We start from the raw sequence: 27381 nt of genomic DNA, 5'->3' as shown, positions 1-27381 counted from the left end.
CACCAGTTGAAGGCATTTGGATTGTTTAATTTTTGGAGATTATGAATAAAGTTGCTATAAAGCATTTCCATATAGATTTTTATATGAATGTACGTTTTTGTAAGTTTTACTGTAAACGTAAGTTTTTATTTCTCTAGAAGTGGGACTGCTTGGTTGTTCAGTAAGTTGTTTTAGTTATTTATTGCTGTACAACAAATTACCCTAAAACACAGCAGCTTAAAATAACAGTATATATTTATGACCTCATAGTTTCTGGGGCCAGGAATGTGGGAGTGAGAGAGCTAGGTGGTTCTGTCCCAAGGTCCTTTATGAGGTTACAGTCAAGATACTGGCCAGCACTGCAGTCATCAGGCTCAAGAGAGGATGGAAAACCCAACTTCCAGATGGCTCATCACTCACATGGGGCTGCCTGCTGGCAGGAGGCCTCAGTTCCTCCCCACATGAACTTTTTCATAAGGCCAAGTGCCTTCATGACGTGACAACTGGTTTCTCCCAGATCAAGTGATCCAAGAAAGTGAGCAAGAAGCTGTAATGTCTTTTACAATCTAGTCTCAGAAGCGATAATCACTTCTGTCATATTCCACTAGTTAGAGGCAAGTCACTAAATCCAGTCAACACTCAAGAACAGAAAAATTAAGTTAAACCTTTTGAAAACAATGTCAAAGAATTTATGGACACATTTTACAATCACCACATATGTTAAACTTTATAATGAACTGCCAAATGGTTATTCTGAGGAAAACAAGCTCCGTTTCTCCTGCTATATTCTGAGATATTGAGGAAAAACCAAAGTGTTTTTCCTACTCTCTACTCTCAATTCAACATAATCACTCAACACTTTAGACACCAAATGTGTGTTTCCCCACACACAAAGCAAGCAATCTTGCAGTGGGTGTCCTCTAATTCAACTCAAATTTGACCCTACCTACCTCGAGATAGTGTCAGTTCCCATAAGTTGAAGGCTCAGTCCCACAAGACTGCCTCCCACTTCCAATGCCAATAGCAAGCCCCAAGTTGTTTTACCTGTGCTTCTAACCACCTGGCTATAAATAGGCATCCCTACGACTCCCTCCTTGGGATCAATTAATTTGTTAGAGCAGCTCACAGAACTCAGAGAAACATTTATGTTTACTGGTTTATTAAAAAGGATATTACAAAGGATATAGAGGAAGACATGCACAGGGCGAGGTATGAGAAAGGAGGCACAGAACCTCTATGCGATCTCCAGGCACACTACTGGCCAAGAATCTCCATGTATTCTGTTACCCAGAAGCTCTCCAAACCCAGTCCTTTTGGGTTTTTATGGAAGCTTCATTACACAGGCATAATTGATTGGACACTGGTGACTAATTTAACTTTCAGCCCCTCTTCCCTTCCTGGAGGCTGAGGGGTGGGCTGGAAGTTATAACCCTCTAATCATGCCTTGGTCTTTTCTTGTAACCAATCCCCATCCGGAAGCTACCTAGGGACTGCCAGGCACCAGTTAAGTCATTAGTATATAAAAGGACACTTCTCACTCTGGAGATTCCAAGGAGCCAAGGAGTTATATGTCAGGAAACACGAGGAAGACTAACTACATATTTCACAAGATCACAGTTATCCAGAGTGGCTATACCACTCTGCATTCCCGCCAGCAAAAGTGTTCCAGTTGCCATGCATCCTGGCCCACACTTGGTGTTTTCTGGCTTTTGTTTTTAGCCATTCTAACGGGTATACTGATACTTTGTATAGTTTTAATTTGTATTCCATTAATTACTAATGCTATTGAGCATCTTTTCACGAGCCTCTTTTATTTGCCATCCCTGTATCTTCTTTGGTGAGGCATCCATTCAGATATTTTACCCACTTTGAAAAATAAAGTTGTTTGTTTCCTTATGGTTGAGTTTTAAGAGTTTGTTATATATTCTGGACACAAATTCTTTATCAGTTATGTGTTTTGCAAATATTTTCTCCAGTCCATAGCTTGTTTTTTCATTTTCTTAACAGTGTCTTTCAAAGAGCAGATATTTTTAATTTTTAAAAGGTCAAATTTAGGTGAGGCATGGTGGCTCACGCCTGTAATCCCAGCACTTTGGGAGGCTGAGGCAGGTGGATCATTTGAGGTCAGGAGTTCGAGACCAGCCTGACCAACACGATGAAACCCCGTCTCTACTAAAACTACAAAAAAAATCAGCCAGCCGTAGTGCATGCCTGTAGTCCCAGCTACTCGGGAGGCTGAGGCAGGAGAATCGCTTGAACCCAGGAGGCAGAGGTTGCAGTGAACCAAGATCACACCACTGTACTCCAGACTGGGTGACAGAGCGAAACTGTCCCCCCACAAAAAAACCAAAAAGGTCAAATTTATCAATTTTTTCCTTTTATGACTGTGCTTCTATTGTTGCATCTAGGAATCCTTTGTCTAACACAAGGTTGCAAAGATCTTGTCTATGTTTTCTTCTATAAGTTTTACAGTTTATGTTTTATTTTTAGGTCTATGACCCTTATTTCAAATGGGTTTTTAAAAATTGATTCACAGGTATAAAAATCTATTCTAAAACAGATTTCAAATATAAGTAAACAACAACAAAAAAGTTTGACTGTTGATAAATATACCCAAAATTTCAGGTTATAAAAACCGAACCTGTGAAAGAAATTCTAGCTTCAAAACCTTCAACAGAGTCTGTGCTATTCACTATTATAAATCATTATAAAATATTTTAGGACCCCTGTGTGTTTTACTTTAATGGAATCATGATTCTCTAATAGCATAAAATCATCTGGATTACTCAGATAGTGAAAAAAACACCAGTACTCCAACTAAAAGCAAGCTCCCAAACCAAAGCATTCTGGAAGTTTTTATACCACAGGTATCTACAGATGTGACCTTCTGAGAAACATAGCATGGCAAAAAAAAAATTCTGAGTTAATTCTAAGTAGAATGTAAATTGAGAAAGATTAGCTACTAAAACATCAGAATTTCTGAGATGTTATCTTAATTTGGTTTTAGGGGGAAAAGCATTTAGCATATTTTTAAAAAGGACTGTCCAGGAAAATCAAACACATGGTTATCTAATCCACGTTTATAAATGTATTGCCATAGCAATAACTGCCCAACCTCTCATGTAACTATGTGGAACTCTTATCATCACTAGCACCACGGGCCTGAAATGACCCTTCCAGATGGGACCCAAGACAGGCCTTAATTTTAGAGTATAATGATCCTATTACAGTAAAGACCCAGGTTAGGAACCCCGTTGAGAACTTAACTACATCATTGAGAGATGGATATAGAAGAGGCAAAGTTATAAAGAAAATCGGGGCAATTAGCACCTTAAAACCAGGGTAATAATTACTATTATATCAGGGGTACATTCTTGTGTACAGTACTCCAAAAAGGCACCTTGGTTAGCCTCGACTGGACTCATTGATCTATGATTTGTTCCACTCCTTCAAAACCAACTAAGAACCTTTGTGGTAATCATTAAAAACTTACTCAACCTGTTCCACAGTTCAAATTTCTTTCTATGAGTTCAGAAACTGCTTTGGCAAATCTAGGTACCACAAACATTTCTTTCTTATCTACGGCCCTCTTCTGAAATCCAGAGCAGAGGTACTCAATTTTTAGTGTATGTAAGAATCACCTAGAGAACTTCCTAAAAAATGCATGTTCCTGGGTCTCACCTCTCAAAATTCTGGGATGAAGCCCAGGATTCTGCATTTTAAACAAGTACCCCAGAAGATTCTGATACAGATGGTCCAGGACCCACACTAACTGCTGATGTAATCTACAACAGTAATTTCCAAACTTCCCTGTTACAAATTACCTCAATGCTTTTTAAATATATAGCTTTCTAGGTACATATTTACCTGGAAAGGTAAGGTAACTAGGAAAGTGCTCAAATATACACCTTCTCTAGAGATGGTAACTTCCATGAATCTGCAATGGGACCTGAGAATGCATATTTTGCAAAAGTACCCTAGGTAATTCTTATCATTAGGGAATTACAAACACTGAACCAGAGGCTAAGAAAAAGAATGCACTCTCCTACAGATGCCCCACATCAGTGGTTTTCAAACTTCTTTGCTTGGTACATCCTAGAATAATTTGGGGAAACTATATATCCTCTTGCATGTTTAAGCTAGCATGTAAGATTTTTCATCATAAATTTAAATTGTTCCAAAGAATATGATGAATGGTAAATATTACATTAAGACAAAATCATAACACCACCCTTTTTTTTTTTTTTTTTTTGAGACAGAGTCTCTCTGTGTTACCCAGGCTGGAGTGCAGTGGCACAATCATAGCTCACTGAAGCCCTGACCACCCCAAACTCAGGTGATCCTCCCACCTCAGCATCGCAAGTTGCTAGGCACATGCCACCATGCCCAGCTAAATTTTTTGTTTTTTTTAGAGCCGGGGTTTTGCCATGTTGCCCAGGGTGGTCTCCAACTCCTGGGGCTCAAGCGATCTGTCTGCCTTGGCCTCCCAAAGTGCTGGGATCACAGACATGAGCCGCTGCACCTAGCCAACACCACACTTTTAAGTATATTGAAGGGAACCTAAACAACATCAAGATTCAATACCTCATTTTTAAAATGTTATTAAAGGAAAAGCTCTGTCAGTAAAATTTTCACTTTTTAAAATATGCTTTTTAATGAAGTTAACGTATGTACAGAAAAGTATACAAAGAACACGGCAGGGCATAATGAATTTTTACAAAGTGAACACAACTGTGTAGCCACCACTCAAGTTCTGTATAGAACATTCCCAGCATGCCAGAAAAGCCTCCCTCAGACTGCCACACAGACACTATCCCCCAGTCACTCTTGTTTTTAATTCTTTCATTTCCCACAAACAACAGGTTAGCCTAACGTATTTAATACTTGTCTTTTACATCATATCATACCTTCTGTACAGCAAAATTATACATAGGAATTGGCATATATTTTTAATTCCCTGTGACCGTAAGGCTATAACTGTTTATATATACATGACTGATTATCATTGCAAGTATTGTAGTATACAATTCATCCAAACACCAATGACGCTCAACTCTGTGAACTCCTTCCTAATTACACATCAAAAAATTATAAAATGATCTGTCATCAAAATTATGTTTAATGATCAGCTAATAGCTAGATTATATCATCCTTCAATTATTTTAAAAACAAAGAAATAGAAACTACCATCATGCAAAAAGGATTTGTTATGCTATTACTAGAATTAAATTAGACACTAATTTTTTTCTACCTTTCTTTGGAACCCTGAAAATTTCTACACCTAAGGACAATATACCAGACTAAGATTCTAGGTGAGCCATTCTTTAATAAAAGTGAAAAAACAGTAACTGTGAAGGGGAAGTAAGAAAGGCAAACCCATCCTCATGAGGTACTCCCAAGCAGCTCAACTTTAGGAAAGAGAACCAGAAACTATCTCCTTTAAAACCATCCATGTCTATATAGCCCTTAGAAAGTGTTCATTCATGCTCAGGGATATGAACACAACAGTTTGATTTGCAGAGTGCTGTTCCGTACCAGAAAAATTTCTTCTTCTGGCCGGGCGTGGTGGCTCATGTCTGTAATCCCAGCACTTTGGGAGGCCAAGGCAGGCAGATCAATTGAGGTCAGGAGTTTGAGACCAGCCTGGCCTACATGGCGAAACCTCGTCTCTCCCAAAGATACAAAAATTAGCCGGGCATGGTGGTGCAAGCTTGTATTCCCAGCTACTGGGTAGGCTGAGGCAGGAGAATTGCTTGAACTCAGGAGGCAGAGGTTGCAGTGAGCCAAGATCATGCCACTGCACTCCAGCCTGGGTGACAGAGCGATACTCATCTCAAAAAAAAAAAAAAAAGTCCTTCTTCTTCTTCATTTTCATCTTCCTCTTCTTTAAGGACACTAATTACCTTTGCTGGCTACATGCCCCAATGTCATGTACCTTTAAATGAAGCAAAGCAGCTACAAAGAGCATTACCTGGGAAAGTGATTAACTTTTTGTGCTTCAGAGAGGGTGCGCAGTAAGAAGGGCTTCAGGTGGGATCCTGTCCACATTAGGTTATAGTCAGTGCTGCTTGGGTGAACCTGAGGGCAGACAGAAAGACAAGAAGGCAAAAAAACATCAGAGATACCCCTTCTCCAGGAAAAGCAATGGCAGAAAAAGCCACAGTGATTTTTTCATCCACAGTGTACTCACCGGGGTGGCCCAATTAGTACGTGAGCCTAGTGAGACAAAAGCAGTGTATCACAGAACAAGTTCAAGGAATGGGAGGGTTGGGCAAATCCCCGATGCAGAAACTAAAATAAATTAACCCTTCTATAGAAACCCATGATGTCTCTTAATATTCTTGCATTTCTTTCTCAGGCTTTCCTTATCCTTGCAGAAACTGAGTATGAAGTGCTGATCAGAGATAAACCTTATAGTAGCAAACCGACTTAGAATTCACCCATTCATCCATTAAAATTCTTTTGTCCATTAATTCAACAATAAGGCGCCATGTTAAGTGCCAGAAATAAAACAGCAACAAGACAGGATACAAACTGGTATCAGAACTTCCCTCACGGACAAGTGCGGTGGCTCATGCCTGTAATCTCAGCACTTTGGGAGGCCGAGGCGGGAGGAGCGCTTGAGCTCAGGAGTTTGAGACTATCCTAGCAACATATTAAGACCCTGTCTCTATAAAAAAAATTTTTTTTTTAATTAGCCAGGAGTGGTGCCATGCACCTGTAGTACCAACTACTTGGGAGGCTGAGGCAGGAGAATCACTTGAGCCCAGGAGTTCAAGCCTACAGTGAACTATGATCATGCCACTGTTCTCCTGCCTGGGTAACTCAGTGAGACTCCATCTCTAAAAATAAAAAATTAAAAAAAAAAAAAAACTTCCTCAAAATGTCTCTTACAAATCTCAAGCTAGGAACCAGACTTTTATCAACTGTCACAAAGTGTCTATAGTGGAAGTGTCTGTTCAGCCTTTTTGCCTGTCCTTTTTGATGTTTACATTCCAATCTTCCAACTTTCTTTGGAGAATGACTTACTCCATGGTTTTCAAGAACCTGTCAATCACCCACCCATCCCCTCCTGCAAGGAGTGGATCCAAACCCAAGCTAGGCCAATCATTCTATCTCCAGAATGTGATTTTTGAGCAAGGAAAGACAAAAGGACAATGAATGGAGTCCAGTCACGCCCATGGCAGTGCCTTGAGAAAATGATCCTGAACACTCCTGTTCCTCCTCGGTGCCAGCCATGCAGGCCTCTCCCCATCTGACCTTCACTCGGGGACCTTCCCTGGCTGTGCTGAAGACTCCTGTTCCTATATCCTTGGGGCTTGTCCTGGTCTCTCTCCTTCCAAAGGCCTGCCTTTTCAGCTTTTTCTCTGATTCTGCTAGTCCCCTCTGCACATCATTCTGACAAATCCCTTTTGGGTTTGTTTTTTTTTTTTTTTTTGAGACGGAGTCTCACTCTGTCACCCAGGCTGGAGTGCAGTGGTGTGATCTCGGCTCACTACAACCTCCACCTCCCAAGTTCAAGCGATTCTCCTGCCTCGGGCTCCTGAGTAGCTGGGACTACAGTTGCACACCACCACACCCAGCCAATTTTTGTATTTTTAGTAGAGACGGGGTTTCACCATGTTGGCCAGGATGGTCTCGATCTCCTGACCTTGGGATCCACCTGCCATTTCAAGTTAAGCAAAGTCTGTTCAGTTGCCTGCAATCAAAGAACCTTAATTGGGTGTCAGACAATTCCTTATGGGCAACGGTGCCCCTAGCCCAAGCCCAAGAACGTAGCAAGAAAAAATTTTTTTCTAAAATCATCTGGAAACGTTTTCCATGTATTGCAAGCAGAAACTGGTAAAGCCACTCCAAAATTCAATCTGAGTTCTGGACCACCACTAAGCATTGGTCCCATGTACTTCCTGGAGCTGGCCCTGTTAACTGGTAAAGTCAGTTAGGTGGCTGGGATTTTCAGCTTATGAGCAGATCAGGTGAGGTATTAAAAATAAACTTACTTCATGAAATCCATGGGCTGTCAGAATGCTGCGTACTAGGCGACTGTCCGTTCGTACAATCTTATAAGACAAATGATAACGTTCTAAAGAAAAACAGAATCAAGTTCAGTAACTAGAAAGTTAACTGTAAAAACAAAAATAAACTGTAACATGGTGGCTTAATTATACTCAATAACATTACATGCTACCATTAAAATGATTATAAATAAGTTGAACGTATTTTGGACCATGAGTTCTTAAAATGAGACTCTTTGGAGGTCATTAGACATAGATGGGGGAAAAATTACACCTTGGTTTTCACTAGTTTCTAGTTGAAATTTAACAATGGCTTCAATTAAGATTTTAAGTAACAAAACAGGCAGTATTAACATTATCTGTGACCCTGCCACTAACAGACATCAGATATTTTTAATATTATTTTACAGTATATCTCAAAATATCAATTATTCTCATAGTATTTAAAGATTATAGTAGTTAATAGACCTTCACTAGATTGTTATTTAATACACTAATAAAAAAGCACATGTCACAATTTCTTAAAAAATATTCTGATTACTATATTTCAATACAATGTATTTCCTTTGTAATTACGTACTTTTTAAAAATCTATTTTAAAACACTCTTCTGCGAAGAGGCCCATGGGCTTCTCCAGACTGCCAAAGGGATCTATTGTACCAAAAAGGTTAAAAACCCCTGCTCTAGGCTGGGCATGGTGGCTCACGCCTGTAACTCCAGCACTTTGGGAGGCCAAGGTGGGCGGATCACCTGAGGTCAGGAATTCGAGACCAGCCTGGCCAACATTGTGAAACCCCATCTCTACTTAAAAATACAAAAAATTAGCTGGGTGTGGTGGTACGCACCTGTAATCCCACCTACTCGGGAGGCTGAGGCAGGAGAATCACTTGAACCCGGGAGGTGGATGTTGCAGTGAGCGCCGAGATCATGCCACTGCACTCCAGCCTGGGGGACAAGAGCAAGACTTCATCTCAAAAAAAAAAAAAAAAAAAAAAAATCCCTGCTCTAGATAGCCCTCTGTATCCTATAATGCTGATTACCAGTACATCTTAGACCAGAGGTTAGAAACTGGTAGCCCAAGGATGAAATCCAGCCTGCAGACATGGTTGGTTTGTTTCTCATGGTGCTCTAAAAATGAAATTGAATTCATTGCTTAGCTTCTGAAATGGAAAGAATTCGTATACAACTCTAGATTTCTAGACGTCTCTTAAAAAAACCTGGAAACCTGGGCTTTCTTCTCTCCAATGGCAAGAATCAGCTGGAGAACTGCACCTGCCCCATTCAGGACAGGCCACACTCTTCAGTTCAGCTCAGGATCCAGCCTGCCTCACTCAATCACATTTCCTGCCAGGGCCAAGTAAGCGTTTGTGCTTGTGACCACTATGGGAGCGGAAAGTCTGAAACCATGTGAGATTTCAATGTATTTACTCTGGACCACTGAATTCAATCTCTTTCTATGCACCACTACTAACTGAAAAAGTTAGCTAAGAATTCTGCTGAAGAATTTTTTTAGAGGACTTCATATTGAACAGTTTCTGAATTGAACAATTCTGAATGATACAGACACTCATGGACAGACTCTAGAACAATATTCAGCCTCTGTAGTCAAAGACAACAATTTCTCTTTCAAGTTTATGTGAAGATATTCATAAATCTCTGCTGCTACTTACTCAGCACTGGCAGGAACACCATGCAAAGCAGACACAGGAGGATTAACATTTAAAATGTCAATCACTTCGTCCTTTTCATTCTTGTGGGCAAACTTTCAAAGCCAAGTAACAGTGTTATCCCAGTGATCAGTCACTATTACTTTGTCTTTGCAGTATCATCATAAGAAACACTGCAGAATCATGTGTGGGAATCACAAAATAGGCTTAGAATATCTTGCAATGTCAAAAAAGGGAAATACTCAAAAACTGATTAGGGACATGTCACTAAGAGCTTAAAAGGGCTCTTGAGGGCCAAGTTTAAGACAATTTGAATGCAAAAATGAATAGTGATAGAGATAGATTATAATGTACTTATAAAAGAATCCATGTATCCACACTTACAAGGAGTCGAGAGGGAATATTGGTTTTCTTTTGCTGCTGTGACAAATTACAACACATTTGTTGTTGTAAGGCAAATTTATTGTCTTACAGCTCTGTACATCAGAAGTCGAACACAGGTCTCACCAGGCTAAAACCAAGGAATTGGCAGAGCTGTGTTCCTTTCTGTGGGCTCTGGGTAGGATTTGTTTCCTTCCCTTTTCCATTCCTTGGCTTATGGCTTATGGTCCCCTTCCTCTATCTTTGAAGTCAACCATGGTTGCATGTAGTCTTTTTCACATCACAACACTCTGGCCTCTTCTACCTCCTTCTCCCACTTTAAAAAACTCTTGTGATTACATTGGGCCCACTTGGATAGTCCAGGATAATCTCCTTATCTTAAGGCCAGTTGATTAGCAACTTTAATTCCATCTAAACCTTAATTCATCCTATGCCATGTAAGATAACATATTCACAGATTCTGGAAATTAGAAGGTAGACATCTTTAAGGGACCATTATTCTGCCTACCACACAAGAGAAAGCTATTATTTACAGAGAATCCAGCTAATAAATGTAGAAGGAAAGACAGAAATGAAAAATCACCATTTTACAAAAACTATAAGAGTAAGTGATTCAAACAAGAATCAGTAGATACCAATGGGGAGAGGCTATTAGGGAATAGGACACGCATACATCTCAAAATATCTTACCAGAGAATGCTTATAACAAAGGGAAAAGGCACCTTTAAAATGAAGCCATCTGGTGAACACAGTCTTAACCAAATGATCAAATGTGCCATCACCAATACTGCAAAATAATAGCATCACATACTCCCAAATGTTATACACTGGGGATACAGTTTCACTAAGCAATATTCCTGCAGATTTTTAAAAATCTGAATCTAAACATGTAGGAACCATCAAACATGGATAACAATCAAATTTAAGGATATCTGTAAAACAAGCAGTCTAGAATATTTAAAAATGTCAATGTCATGGAAGACAAAAAAAAAGTCTAGGAAATGGCTGTACAGTAGACTAAGGAAATATGACAACAAAATGTAATATTTGATTGGATCCTGAATAGAAAAACAAAAAACCACTATAGAAGACTAAATTGGAACAATGGGGAAATCTGCATAGATTAGATCTATGGATTAGATAACAGTATTTTGCCAGTGACACATTATTGTGCTTATATAGAATATGCCCTTATTCTCAGGAGTCACAAGCTGAATAATGTATTAGGGCATGCAATATTTTACTAATTCTCAAATGGTTCAGAAAGAGAGAAGCAAATATGGCAAAATGTAAGTAATGGGTGATTCCAGGGAAAGACTATATGCGTTCATTGTACTATTTTTGTAACTTGTCTGAAGGTTTTTAATTTTTCTAAATAAAATGTGTACAAAAATGAAAAAATATCTGGTCCTTTCATTATGATAACCATGATCACTAACATTTTTGCACATGAAAAGTCAAAGCATCATCAGCTACACAGTGACTGCTAGAAATAAGGACTGAACCCAATTCTGTGCATGTTCTGCAGTGCTTGCCCCTCACTGCCCAGCCACAGGGGAGGTGATCAGTAAGGTGTGTGAGAAAATAGAGAACAGTTACATGGGGAATAAGAGACAAGGGGGAATAATAACAAGTCTGGGCATGGTGGCTCATGCCTGTAATCCCAGTACGATGGGAGGCTGGAGCTGGAGGGCTGCTTGAGACCAGCAGTTCAAGATCGGCCAGGGCAACATAGCGAGACCTCGTCACTAACAAAAAAAAAAAAAATTTTTTTTTTTAATTAGCCAAGTGTACGGGTGGGCGCCTGTAGTCTTAGCTACTCAGGAGGCTGAGGTAAGAGGACTGCTTGAGCCCAAGAGTTCAAAGTTACAGTGAGCTATGATCACACCATTGCACTCCAGCCCAGGTGGCAGAGCAAGACCCTGTCTCTTAAAAAAAGAGAGAGAGAGAAACCAGCCTGGGAAACATGGTGAAACCCCATCTCTACTAAAAATACAAAATTTAGCCAGGCATGGTGCTGTGCGCCTGTAGTCCCAGCTACCTGGGAGGCTGAGGCAGGAGGATCACCTGAGCCTTGAAAGGCTAAGGCTGCAGTGAGTCATGATCAGGCCACTGCACTCCAGCCTGAGTGACAGGGTGAGACCCTGTCTCAAAAAAAAAAAAAAAAAAAAAAAGAGAGAGAGAGAGAAAGAGAATCTCTAGAATCAAACTAGGGTTCAAACCCTGATTCTACCACTTCCTCCCTGTAGCCTTCAATAAATTGTTTAATTTCTCTATGATCAATTTCCTCACCTGTAAAATGGAGTTGATAATAACAGTAGTTACTGCATAGAGTAGCTGTAAGCACTAAATCAGTTAATACATGTAAAGCTATGAAACAATTATTCTACACAGTATAAATTATTTTTATATAGTAAAAAAATAATAAAAGTCATTAGTATATGCACTGTACATAATTATACATTTTATATAGCAAATTAAAAAATTAAAATGGGCCAGGTGTGGTGGCTCATGCCTGTAATCCCAGCACTTTGGAAGGCCGAGATGGGAGGGCTGCTTGAGGCCAGAAATTTGAGTCCAGCCTGAGCAACATAGGAGACCCTGTCTCTACAAAAATTTAAAAATTAGCCAGACATGGTGGTACATGTCTCTAGTCCAAGCTACTCAGGAGGCTGAGGCAAGAGAGTTGCTTGAGCCCAGGAGGTCAAGGCTGTAGTAGTGAGTTGTAATCATGCCACTGCACTTCAGCGTGGGTGACAGAGCAAGACCCTGTTTCAGAAAAAAAAAAAAAAAAAAGTAAAATGCTATCAATATTATTTCTCCTACTCCTCCTAATATAAAAGAAAAATACAACTGCCACCACACTCAGTGGCAAATCTGATTCTTACAATACATAAATAGTAAGCAGTGACAAGCCACTTCTAATCCATATCACCTAACTATAACCCAACTCAGATACACTGAACATGTTCCAAAAGAGTAGTGCAAAAAAAGAAGGGTGGAATGACAGAATGCAAACATCACTGCTGGAGATTTTTAGTTCATATATACTCTGTGTCCGGTAGCCCTCTGTGTGCAATAAGGCTGGTGGGTAGTATATTTTAGACTAGAGGTTACAAATTAGTGACCCAAGAACCAGACCTAGCCTGCAGATGTGGTCTGTCACTCACGATGCTTCAAAATAAAACTAAATTAGTTGCTAAGCCATTGAAAATTGGAAAAATTCATATAAAAATATAGATTTCTAGGCTTCTCTTAAGAAACCTGGTAATGATGGTTATTTTTATGTGTCAACTTGACTGGGCCACAGGATGCCCAGATACCTGGTTAAATGTCATTTATAGGTGTCTGTGAGGATGTCTCCAGAAGAGATGAGCATTTAAATATAGGGAATGAATAAAGCAGATTACCCTCCCAAATGTGGGTGGGAATCATTTAATCCATTGAGGGCAAGAATAGAACAAAAGGGTGATTGGTTTTGCTCTCTCTCTGCCTGACTGGTTGAGATGGGACACAGACCTTCTCTGCCCTCGACACTCCTGGTTCTCAGGAATTCAGACTCAGAGTGGAATCTATACCACTGGCTCTCTGGCTCACAGGCTTTCAAACTGGACCACCAACTTCCCAGGGTCTCCAACTTGCAAATGGTAGATAATGGGACTTTTTAGCTTACATAATTACATAAACCAATAACCTTATAACAACATTCATTCCTCCCTTCCCCCTCCCTGTCTCCTTGTATCCTATTGGTTCTATTTCTCTGGAACACCCTGACTAATATGTACCTGGGCTTTCTCTCCCGTAACAAGAACTCTGACTAATATGCCTAGGCTTTCTCTCCCATGACAAGAGTCAAATGGAAGATTGCAACTGTAAACTGAAGCTGCCCAACTGCCTAAGAAAGAACCACCTCATCCCATGTTTTCTTCTGTATAAAAACATGAGGCAGAGCATGGTCCTCCTTGACTACTAGCAAACTGCCAAATATCCTATTTCTAAGCCTCTTAACATGCATCACATCAATTCCACCATAGAAGAGACCACAGAATTTCCTCTTCTCCAACCACTCACATGTGCCCCTAGAGGCAACTTGAAGTGCTAGGACCCCTAGCAAGTTCCAGGACAGACCACAGCAGAGCAAATGAAAACAAACCAATAATCTAACTGTCAACACAGAGAAGTACCTAGAGAGCAATGAAACGCCTTAAAGGGTTTAAACAAAAATAGCATGGGAAATAGGATAAAGATAAAGCTGACATTTTTGACTTGTAGAACACAAAAATAACTCCTTTAATGGCAACATAGTGTAGCTGTGCCCTAGTATCAGAAAATTAGGTTACCTAGAATTAGGATTAGGATATTTGTGCTGTCGAATGTGTGTGACTAATAAGCACTTGAAATGTCCTTATTTAACTTTAGTTAATTTAAATTTAAGAATGAATACTTGATTCAGTTACTGGAAATCCTATTTTAAACAATTTGCCTGTGGGGAGGGGAAGAAACAATTGAGTATATGAATTTACTTTTTAAACTATAAAAGTTATAAAATCTAAATATAGACCGAATATTTCCAATGAAAATTTTGCAAATTGAGATGCTCTGTTATGTTAAAATATATACTAGATATAAAATATTAATGGTTTTTTTATATTGAGTAAATGTGGAAATGATAATATTCTGGAATATATTGGGTTAAATAAAATATATTATTAAAATTAATTTCACCTACCTGTTTCCTTTTACTTTTAAAAATAATTTCCTACTAGAAAATTTCAAATCACATATATAGCTTGCATCATACATCTATTGCTAGTATATACAAATACAAACTTACTAAATAAACACATTCAGGGACAAATTACAGAAAAATGCTTCATTCTAGAAGTTTACTTTAAGCTGAAAATACCTATGTTGTCTCTAAAATACAATCCCATTTACACATTTAAAGTACATACAATTTGGGAAAAAAACAAGGTTATAATGAAGAAAAGCCACATTCCTGGAATATTTCACAAATAAAACACGAGAAATCATATTGTACCAAAAATATTAATAGTGAATTCAATGAAACATGTCATAAAGAGAAAAAACCAATTTGGCATCTAACACGATGAGATCAACAGAAGGTAACTATTGCCCCAGATACACTTCTCAGGGGGATTTAACCACAGGCTTATGATCTGAACAGATCTGTGTCAGCTATTTAAGAGAGCCAAAAAGAAAAGTTGCAGATTGAGAGTATTTAACAATACAGAAAACTGAGGCAGCAACTACCAAAAGTCATTCAAATTGTTCTTTTCATTAAGGAAGGTGAAGAAAATTATTAAGCCACAAGGAACTGGGAAAGATACAGAAAACTCAAAAACACAGAATTTGAGAAAAGTTTGGTGGCTTTTTCTTTAATCACAGGAATGTGTAAAGAAAAAGACTTATGGATCCTAAAAAAATAGTAATTGCTTAAATAGATGACATTGATGGATATTATTTTCCAATAAATGTTAGGTATTCTAAAAAAGAAGGGTCCGCCTATTGCCATAGAATACATCGATTACTTTATGTGACAAGCAGACCAAAAGAAGTATGTTTGGGGGGAATATTTGTTTTTATCCACCTTTAACATTTTGGCTCAAATCATATTTAGAGGGAGTTTCTCAGCAAGGGGTCTTCAGTTACTCAGGCTTCAGAGAACATGAATGAACCACTTCCCTTTAAATGGTAACTTGGCAACTTGCTGAGGTGACTAGAACACAAGGATCCTTGGGGAGGAAGGAGGATTCAAATCCCAGAAGCAATGCTAACAGTCCTCTGAACTCCTGACTTATTAAGGGACAAGACAAAAGTCATTTACAAGTAGAGTAGATCTTATTCAATCAGTAAAATAAGCAGCACAAGTTTTGAGCGCCTACTATGTGTCGGACATTAAATGAGCTCATGTAATCCTCACAATATCATATTCTCTCCATTTTACTAATGATTTTACTAATAATGAAACTGGTTAAGATTTTACTAATAATGAAACCGGTTAAAAGAGTCTAAGTCACTTGCCCAAGACTCACAGCTAAGAAATACCAAAGCTGGGATTTGAACCAATGGCTGAGAACCCAAGTGTACACTCTTTCCACCATACCACAAGACAGTCCTGATCCACAGTGTTATAACCTTTGAAGATGGCTACAGACTAACACCAGGGCTCAGAGCACTGCTTAAAATCCAAGAGGAGCAGAGATAAGTGAAATTGATAAAATACAAACAATGCAGAAAACAAGAGAAAGCAAAAGTTGGAATTTTAAAATTGGGTCTTTAAAATTATCAACAAAGCCAGGTGCAAATTCTCATTCCTATAATCCCAACACTTTAGGAGACTGAGCTGGGAGGACTGCTTGAGGCCAGGAGTTCAAGACCAGCCTGGGAAACATAGTGAGACCCCCCCATCTCTACAAAAAGCTTTTTTTTTTTTAATTAGCTAGCCATGGTGGTGTACACCCACAGACCAAGCTACTCAGGAGGCTGGGGCAGGAGGATCACTTGAGCCCAGAAGTCTGAGGCTGCAGTGAGCTAGGATTACACCACTGCACTCCAGCATGGGTGACAGAGTGAGACTTTGTCACTCAAAAAGAATAAAATAAAAATGATCAACGAAATTGACAAACCTCTAGCTAAACTAAGGAAAAAAGAGAAAAGACTGAAATAACTAAAATCAGAAGTGAAAGTGGGGACATTATTACAGACCTTACAGAAATGAAAAGGATTGTAAAAGAATACTATGAACAGTTGTATGCAAACAAGTTAGATAAGCTAAATAAAATGGACAAATACCTAGAAACACATAAACTACCAAAACTGACTCAAGAAGAAATAGAAAATATGAATAGACCTACAGCAAGCAGAGGTTGAAGGGAACCCATTCTATGAGGCCAGCATTACCCTGATACCAAAGCCAGACAAAGGCATCAGAAGAAAACTATAAATCAATATCCCTTATAAATACAGACAAAAAATGTTCAACAAAATACTAGCAATTAGGCCGGGCGTGGTGGCTCATGCCTATAATCCCAGCACTTTGGGAGGCCGAGGCGGGTGGATCATGAGGTCAGGAGTTCAAAACCAGCCTGCCAACATGGTGAAACCCCATCTTTACTAAAAATACAAAAATTAGCCGGGCATGGTGGTGGACGCCTATAATCCCAGCTACTCGGGAGGCTGAGGCAGAGAATTGCTTGAACTCAGGAGGAGGAGGTTGCAGTGAGCTGAGATTGTGCCACTGCACTCCAGCCTGGGTGACAGAGCGAGACTCCGTCGCAAAAAAATAAAATAAAACAAAATAAAATAAAATACTAGCAATTACACTCTGACAAAGTGGGATTTATCTCAGGAATATAAGGGAGGTTCAAGACACAAAAAGTCAGTCAATGTAATGTACCACGTTAACAGGCTGAAGGGGGAAATATCATTTCAGTTGATGTGGAAAAAGCATTTGACTAACACCTTTTCATGATAAAAACACACAACAAACTAGGAATAGAAGCAAACTTTCTCAACATGACAAAGGACATTTATGAAAACCCACAGCTAGTATCATACGCAATGACAGAAAACAGAAAGCTTTCTTCCTATGATCAAAAACAAGACAAAGACACCCTCTTTCTATTCAGCATTGTACTAGAAATTCTAGCCAGAACAATTAGGGAAGAAAAAGAAATAAAAGGCATCCACGTTGGAGAGAAAGAACTAAAATTCTCTCTATTTGCAGATAACATATTACATGCAGACAAACCTAAACACAAAAACTATTAGAGCTAATAAATGAGTGCAGCAAGGTTTCAGGATACAAGATCAATATACAGAACTCAGGTGTATTTCTATACACTAGCAGTGAATAACCCAAAAATGAAATTGAGAAAACAATTCTATTTACAATAACATCAAAAAGAATAAAATATTTAGGAATAAATTTAACCAAGGGGGTACAAGACTTGTACACAGAAAACTATAAAACCATGATGAAAGAAATTAAAGAAGCCCAAAAAATTGGAAAGACATTCCATGTTCATAGAAAACATCATTAAGATGGCAACACTCTAAGAAGTGATTTATAGATTCAATGCACTCCCTATCAACATCCCAACAGCCATTTTTGAAGAAAGGGGAAAAGCTGATCCTAACATTCATATGGAATTGCAAGGGACCCTGAATGGCCAGAGATCTTGAAAAAGAACTATATTAGAGGACTTACAATCCGCAATTTCAAAACTTAATACAAAGGTACGGTAATCAAGAGTATGTTACTACCATAAGGATAAATGTATAGTTCAATGAAATATTAAAAGTCCATAAGTAAACCCATACACCTATGGTCTACTGATTTTCAACAATAGTGCCAAGACCATCCAGTGGGGAAAAGAATAGTCTCTTCAACTAATTTTGCTGAGACAACTGGATATCCAAATGCAAAAGAATGAAGGTGAACCCTTACATAACCCTACATGAAAAATTTAACTCAAAATGGATCAAAGACTATTGAGCCCTAAATATAAGAGCTTAAACCATAAAACTCTTAGAAAAAAGCACAGGGATCATGACCTTGGGTTAGGCAATGGTTTCTTAGATATGACACAAAGAATATAAGCAACAAAAGAAAAATTAGATAAACTGGATGTCATCAAAACAAAAAACTTTTGCTCATGAAAGAACACTAACAAGAAAATGAAAGACAATTCACAGAGTAAGAATATTTGTAAATCATATATCTTGTCTAATATCCATAACATATAAAACTCTTATAATTCAACAACAATAAAGAAAACCCAATTTTTAAAATGTACAAAGGACTTGAATAGGCCTTTCTCCAAAGAAAATACACAAATGGCCAAAAAGTACATAAAAAGATATTCAAATTACTCATTAGGGAAATGCAAATCAAAACCACAGCCAGATACCACATCACATTCACTGGTATGGCTATGATCTAAGAAACAGAAAATATCAAATGTTAGTGAGGATGTGGAGAAACTGGAACCCCTATACGTTGTTGACGGGAATGTAAAACGGTACAGCTGCTATGGAAAACAGTTTGACACGGAATAAGTTAAACACAGAATTACCATATGGCCTAGCAATTCCATTCCTAGGTATACCCCAAAGAACTGAAGATTAAGTGTCCAAACGACTTTTCCGTGAACATTCATAGCAGCACAATTCACAACAGACAAAAGGTGGAAAAAGGCCAGACACAGTGGATTATGCATGTAACCAAGGCAGGATTGCTTAAGGCCAGGAGTTTGAGACCAACATAGGCAACACAGTGAGATCCTGTATCTAAAAAATAAATAAATTTTAAAAACAAAATTAAAAAAAAAGGTGGAAACAAAAAAAATGTACATCAACTGATGACTGGATAAACAAAATGTGGTGTATCATTGGAATGCATTCATTAGCATATACAATGGAATGTTATTCAGCTATAAAAAGGAATAAAGGACTGATATATACTCCAACATGGATGAACCTCAAAAACATTATGCTAAGTGAAAAGAAGCCTGCCAAAAAAGGTCACATATCACATGACTCCATTTATATAAAACATCCAGAATATGGGAATCTATAAAAACAGAAAATAGATGAGTGGTTGCCAGGGACTGGTGGTATGGGGGCTGGGGATATCTGCTTAATGGGTATTGGCTGTACTTTGGAGATGATGAAAATGTTCTGGAACTAAACAGTGGTGACGGCTGCACAACATTGTGAATGTACTAAACAACAACGACTTGTACACTCTAAAATGGTTAAAATGGTAAATTTTGTTAGGTGTATTTTACCACAATTAAAAAAAAAACACATGTACACAATATTCTTGAAAAAAAATCAGAGGAAAAACATAAGCAGAAAACAATTTAAGAAATTATAATGTTTGAAGTATAACAACTCAATTGATTTTTCTCATGGCCAAGGCCCTTTCCCTATATATATGTCATATCAACTTCTTTAAGACAAGGACGTCTGGGCCATGCCCAGCTCCGTCCTCTGTGGGAGAGGTTATACGCACCTCCAATTACTCTAATATTGTTGTCCTTTGTAAGAATAGCGTCGGCATGGAATACCAAAACTGGAATTCTCCTGCAGCCTCCAGTCCACATGATGCATGGATGATCCCTATAACGACAAAAAAGCCTTCATTAATTTACAGCTCAAAACCTGAACTAACTGCTGATGCAGATTACTATGGTTTGTTGCTTAGCAAGTTTCCCCTTCCTTCTGGAATACAAATCCCAAATATCCTGTGGGAAATCACATCTCCCATTCTTAGCTGTGTGTTTAAAATTAACTCTATCCCTGGTTCAGGGATGGGCCTTGATTGGTTTCAGCCAATCAAGATACTTCATCATCCAGTATAATTAGTGGTTCAGAGATAGGCACATAAACCAATTGGAGCCCATAAGTTTAAGGAGACATGTTCTGGACTCTGTGAGAAAGCAATGGTTTCTTTCTCTTCTATAATGGCTACAGATGATAGCCTGTCTTCCTCTTGATGGTATAGGATGAGAATGAGAAGTCTGGAAGGGCAACAACCATTTTGTGACCTTGAAAGAAGAGCCTGTAGCTGTTGGTGAAGGAGAAAGTCAGCAGGAGGTTGACTGAAGAGATAAAGTGGGATTTTCAGAATCAAGATATGCCTGAATATGAGTGAAAGTATTCTCTTTATTACTTAGGACCATTTGGATTATGTTGTAATCCTTTGCACACATAAAGAATCCTAACTGATGAGTTCACAATAATTTACATACTCCTTTTACACGCTATAGTCCATTTTCAAGCCAATTTGATGATGCATCCTAAGACTCTGAACTAGGAACTCTAAATTAATACAAGTATCCCAATTAAAATCACATATTTTAAAGGAAGCCCATGCTAAATGGAACAATATATATTTTCCTCCAGTATAAAACCACAGGGGAGAAAAAGACCTCTGACTTTATTCTCTTTCCCTATCCTCAGGAAATCTCAGCTTAATTTTAGGCTGATGAATATTTACTCACAGATCAGAAAAACCTTCACCCTCATTAGGGCAGGGAGGTAGGAAGAGAAATAAAATTAAATGAACTGAGTCCCTACTATGTGCCAGGATTTAAACTAAGAGCTCTCATATCTCACTTAATCCCCCTGCCCATACTATGAACTGCAGGAAAACTGTCTCAGAAAGGTTAAGTAACCTGCCTAAGGTCATATAGCTGGTTAAGTAAGGGATGAGGTATTTGAACCTAACATCTGTATTCTTTCTACTGTTTGCCTCCCTAATCGCATTTCAGCAAAGTTGTATATATTGGATACCTTGAATTCAATTATTTGGGAACTTAAACTGATAATTCCTTAAATGCAATACAATCCACTTGGCCAAGATTCACTCGACTCTTAAAAACTCACATAACCACATCCCTTAACAAAGGTCATACCACAAATCTCAGGGCCAAGTCAGCCCCTCCCAATCCAACTTTAAAAAGATCCACACTCGGGCCGGACACGGTGGCTCACGCCTGTAATCCCAGCACTTTGGGAGGCCGAGGCAGACAGATCACGAGGTCAAGAGATCGAGACCATCCTGGCCAACATGGTGAAACCCCGTCTCTACTAAAAATACAAAAATTAGCTGGGTGTGGTGGCCCGCACCTGTAGTCCCAGCTACTCGGGAGGCTGAGGCAGAAGAATCAGTTGAACCTGGGAGGCGGAGGTTGCAGTGAACCAAGATCGTGCCACTACACTCCAGCCTGGCAACAGAGCAAGACTCCGTCTCAATAAAAAAAAAAAAAAAAAAAAAAAAACATAAAAAGATCCACACTCTGAATGCACAGTCTGTAAGGCTCCCAATCTTAGGAGTGAGGCAGTCTTTAGACTTGGGACAAGCTGCCAACTGCTTTCTAGTGAAGAAAGCAAAGAACAGCATACCTAGTTTATTCCCCGTTTTCTAGAAATGGCATGTGGATGCTTATTGTTCTTGTTCTTTGACTTGGTGACAGTACCCACTTGTGAGAAACGGTGCTGATAGGGTACCTTTTTTAGCAGGAAGGATTTTTTTGTGGCTTGCTTGCTTCTTCATCTTTAACACCTGTAAAATGTGGGCATGAAGCCAGGTGATTCCTATGATCTCTTCCAACCTTAATTTTTCCACTATATTTCTAAATCAGCAAGTACAGAAAAAAACAGGCAGCCTAAACTACAAAGTCTCAGACAGGAACTCTGGAAACTATCCAAAGTTCTCTGTCAATCTAGCACTAGCTACCAGCTGGCACCACTATGCCTTAGCATTTATAAACAATGGATTGCTGCTCCAATTTTAAAATGCCTGACAAGGGGAGCACAATCAACAGATACACAGCTGAGAAGAGCCCAGGCCCTAACTGTACTATCTGTAGAAAGCCAAGTCTCTAACAGAGAAATCTTTTCATTTCCAACCCATGGAAAGATAAAAGAGAGAGTAAACAGTAAGGTCAGCTAAAAAAAAAAAGCACTTAAGGAATATGCGAAGTTGTCATGAAAAACATATTCCCACCAAGTGATGCTAAAAGGAAAAAATTCAGAATGATTAGGAAACTGAAAATTGGGACTTTATATTCTCATTCACATCAGAAACTGGTACATATTAAAATCCACTTTTATAGGCATGAAAAACAAAGGATTTGAATAATTACCGAAGCAGATCAGTTTTATGATTCACTTTATTGAAAGCCTAAAAACATTTTGGTTTTCCGGGAATAATTTCATGAGAAATAGACATCATTCACTCCTGGGACCCAGCCTACATAACTCAAAGATGGAGCTGTAAGCAGCTTTTGCATTCTTGCTTCTAGGCTGTCTTCATACCACTACCCCTATTAGAAATGCCTTCCCCACTTCTGTTTATCTAAGCCCACTCTCCAAGGCCTACCTAAAGTCTCACCACCTTCAGGCAGCCTTCCCCAGCTCCTTCAGCCCATTACGATACTTCCTTCTCTGAACTCCTATAGCACCCACTTTATAATTGATTGTTAATAATCTTTTTAACTGATATAAAGCCAGCCTTTTACAATAGCAATTAAAGTTGACATTTTTTCAGTGACCAAAGAAATCTTACATCACGTTCTTCTACGAAAGCTTCTATATCTACATACAGAGTTGTATTTGGGATCCCCAAGCAAAATATAGAAAAACAGCCTCTTTACATTTTCTATTTGAAATAATACCATGCAAAACAAGACTGCCTGGATAGTTTCTATTCCTGAAGTCCACGATTGCAAGGAATTAATACTTTAACACAGCCTAGGGATCTGAGCAGATCTAACAGATGTCCATGGATATACATCTTTGGATCAAGTCAACATCTTCCGATGATTTATGGCCTTCAAACTTCTAAATCAACTTTTAAAATGTAAGCCTGCTGCTTCAGGTGTGAACAAGATTGATTTAAGCTTCCTAATGTAAAAAATAAGTGTCTGATAGACAAGACATAAGCTGATGAAACAAGATTAACAGTTAAAAATCAACAGTAGGAGTCTAAAAGGAGGAAGTGGTCCATAAATTTGGATGGGAGCAGAGGGAAAATTACACCTTTATTTTCACTAACTTTTACTAGAAATTCAGTATTTCTTAATTATGAATATAGGCAACGAACCATAGTAATATTAGCATTATCTGTGCCTTTGACGTTATCTAAAATTACAGCAGTTTTTTTGTTTTGTTTTGTTTGAGACGGAGTCTCACTCTGTCTCCCAGGCTGGAGCACAGTGGCACAATCTCGGCTCACTGCAACCTCTGCCTTCCAGGTTCAAGCGATTCACCTGCCTCAGCCTCCCGAGTAGCTGGGATTACCCACAACCACACCCGGCTAATTTTTGTATTTTAGTAGAGACAGGGTTTCACCATATTGGCCAGGCTGGTCTCAAACTCCTGACTGCAAGTGATCTGCCCACCTCGGCCTCCCAAAGTGCTGGGATTACAGGCGTGAGCCACTGCACCTGGCCAATTACAGGTATTACATTTGTCACTACTTCTAAGTTATAGTAGTTTAAGACTCACCCCTAGATCACATGTGATCATGGTCTTTCTATCTAAATGCTAGTGTGATGAGGTTGGACAACAATTGGGCAACTCTCCTCCTAATAATCATTCAGTCACTAAATGATGACACCTCACACTGGTGACCCAGACATCTATGCTGCTTCCCAGTACCCCCGACCTATGATTGTTAATCAAAGGCCACCCTCCCAGTGTACTGATCTTACACAAACTAAACAAAAACAGTCTTCATGTTGTTGTCTTTAGAAAACAAAATTTAACTTTCCCAGATTTGAAATGATCTTATTATTTAATGTATTAGTAAAACAGCACATATTACTATGTTACAAATGTGTTTTAATAACTGCATTTGAATGTAATTAGTACTCTTTGTAATAATATGTATTTTATTTTAAGCCTTAAAAACATTATTCTGGTAAGGAATCCATGGCATAAAAAAGTTAACAACTCTGATCTAAGGTAATGTAAAGTATAAAGCCTTCATTTATTCCTTCATTTCGTTATTCAGTCAGCAAGAATTTACTAAGTACCTACTATAATATTAGGTCAAACTATCTGCAATCGTCAGTATTTGACTGTTTCTGACCTACCAAAATGGCAGTTTCATATAGTTCAATCTAACATTTGTCAGGCCCAATCTGTAAACCCACTAATAAGAGAGACAGTAATGGAGTAAAAGAACAACCTTTAAAAAGGGAAAGACTGATACTTGCAGCAGAAGTTAAAAGTTTTATGAAATGGGTAAGAGGCAGCACACCGAAAGCAAAAAGTCAGAAGAAGGGAAAGTAACCAGAGGGAATTATCCATTTAATTATCCTGAACAAGAATGACCCAAATATACTTTCAAATCTCTATTAGTTTCTATGACCTAACAGTGATAAGAAACGTTTCCTCAAAGCTTTCTTAATGCTTCAACAATTTTTTTCAAATTACAAGTAATCTTGTATCTTACAAGAAGCCCACCATAAATTCAATATTAAAACCAGTAAAAATAATGCCTTACATTTGTATAGCACTTACAAAGTAATTTCACATACATTATGCTATTTGAGTCTAACCAGACCCCTACAAAATAGCCTGGGAGATATTATCTCTATTTTTCAGGTTACATAGCACACACATATCCAAAAGGACTCAGGGAGAATCTTAAAAATGAATTTTACCTTTAAACCAGATTCTCTCTTTACTCTGTGTCAAGCAATAATTAAAGGAGGCAAAAGAGCAAAGTGATCAAAATCCAGAAAAGCTAAGTCCAAATCTCAATGCATCACTTACTCTCTATGGGTCACTGAGGAAATTTCCTGATAAGACTGAGTTTAAAAAAGTGAAAATAATAACACCTTCAGATTTAAAAAGATATAAGATATAGATGAGATAAAGCCTTTATCGTCATCTGTAGTAGCTATATTTATCATTATCATTCTTTTTTTTTTTTTTGAGATGGAGGTTTGCTCTTGTTGCCCGGGCTGGAGTGCAATGGTGAGATCTCAGCTCACTGCAACCTCCACCTCCCAGGTTCAAGCCATTCTCCTGTCTCAGCCTCCCGAGTAGCTGAGATTACAGATACCCACCATCACGCCCAGCTAATTTCTGTTTTTTTAGTAGAGATGGGGTTTCACCATGTTGGCCAGGCTGGTCTTGAACTCCTGACCTCAGGTGATCCGCTCACCTCGGCTACCCAAAGTGCTGGGATTACAGGCATAAGCCAACACACCTAGCTATTATTCATTCTTATTGTGATGATCCAGTAATCATGAAATTGGACTCTTAACTAAAAGAACTCAGGAAAGCAGTGTGGGTCAATGGACACAACACAGGCTATAGAACTCTAATATCCTGCCTCAGAGTTACTATGGTAAGTTACCTGACCTCTCTATATTACCACCATTTTATCATTGTAAAGGCTTTTGAGAAAATTAGCAAACGTAACTAATGTTGTAGAGTTTGGACATGCTTTTCTTCAATACTTAAACATTTCAAAATCTTCTGTTGGGAGTTCTGAGCAAGAGTTCACCAAGAGCTACTACTTGCATTTTACAACATCTAGAGCTGATGTTCACTTATGGGCCCAGAAAGAGAGCCTTATCTCATTTCTCATAGCTGATAGGGACTGAGTAACAAGACCTTAAATGACATTATGGATAGAAGCTAAAACCAGAGTTAGATAATCCCCAAGGAATGACACTAGATAAAAGAGTACATAAGTAAAAGAGAAGAGTATATAGTAAAACAGTATATAAGAGTATATAAGTGAAAGAGTACAAAGCACAGGTTGAAAGCAGGCTTGCTATTACTTACTCTTGACTTATGACCTCCTCATCCTCTGAGGATGATGCTGTTTCCTCCAGGTCCCGGGCCATCACGATTGGCATTTCCTTTAGGGTTTGTCATGCAGTCAGCAGACGGGGGCCTCAGAGACCTTTCCTAGCAGATTCACTGGATCAAGCAATTTGGATGGCACAGATTCCTGCAAGAAATCAACTTGATTGGATCAATTGACCTGAAACACAATGCAGTTGTCTATTTATTGGTTATTGCTGATAATCTAAGTAATGAAAATGACTATATTCCTAAACAGTGCTCAACCTCTAGAAGTTTACTTTCCATAACATATGGAATGTGCCTCAATATGTGCCTCAATATGCCACAAAAATCAAGATTTTTTTCAAACATACAGTCTGTGCTCTATATATTTGAAGAGCTGTTACTAAGTTTGAGTTTCTCATTATTTACTAAATCGAATATGCACCAAAAGGATAGACTCCTCACTTTCACTCAGTTTGAGGCAGGTGACTGATTCCCTAAAACATATATTCCTTGCTAGACAAACCTGGCCTGGGTTAAAAATAAATAAATAAAAACTCAAGGTTTAAGACCCTTGCAGGCCGGGCAGGGTGGCTCACGCCTGTAATCCCAGTACTTTGGGAGGCCAAGGCGGGCGGATCACCTGAGGTCGGGAGTTCGAGACCAGCCTGACTAACATGGAGAAACCCCGTCTTTACTAAAAAAAAAAAAAAAAAATACAAAAAATTAGCCGGGTGTGCTGGCTCATGCCTGTAATCCCAGCTACTCGGGAGGCTGAGGGAGGAGAATCGCTTGAACCCGGGAGGCGGAGGTTGCGGTGAGCCAAGATCGCGCCATTGCACTCCAGCCTGGGCAACAAGAGTGAACTCCGTCTCAAAAAAAAAAAAACAACAAAAAACCCCTGCCAACATTTATTTAGACTCTATGACAAGCACGCTGACAAGATGCCATCATGTTTCCAGTAAAATAAATTCAACAATGAACCGAAAGAT

At 38.7% G+C, this 27381-nt stretch overlaps 1 protein-coding gene across 1 annotated transcript in view, besides 1 other annotated feature; it reads right to left on the bottom strand.

Moving 5' to 3' along the window:
• TTLL5 (tubulin tyrosine ligase like 5) overlaps window positions 1–27381 on the bottom strand; it is a 293834-nt gene that overhangs the window by 265473 nt on the left and 980 nt on the right. The window contains exons 2-5 of the mRNA NM_015072.5: window positions 26384–26552; window positions 20085–20191; window positions 7980–8062; window positions 5951–6057 (exon numbers count right to left, since the gene is read on the bottom strand). Of these exons, the coding sequence (NP_055887.3) occupies window positions 5951–6057; window positions 7980–8062; window positions 20085–20191; window positions 26384–26457 (371 nt within the window). The 5' untranslated portion in view covers window positions 26458–26552. The remainder of the gene's footprint in view (window positions 1–5950; window positions 6058–7979; window positions 8063–20084; window positions 20192–26383; window positions 26553–27381) is intronic.
• Window positions 15878–15967: an enhancer, noted in NCBI's record as "active region_8762". NCBI's record gives its function as "activates an Ori minimal core promoter by ATAC-STARR-seq in GM12878 lymphoblastoid cells {active_cell/tissue: GM12878}" and the evidence as "EXISTENCE:reporter gene assay evidence [ECO:0000049][PMID:35858748]".

The sequence above is a fragment of the Homo sapiens genome, chromosome 14 (genome assembly GCF_000001405.40).
Source record: "Homo sapiens chromosome 14, GRCh38.p14 Primary Assembly".
Lineage (NCBI taxonomy): Eukaryota > Metazoa > Chordata > Mammalia > Primates > Hominidae > Homo > Homo sapiens.
Note: the sequence above shows the minus strand (reverse complement) of the source record. Positions and strands in the feature narration are given on the sequence as shown.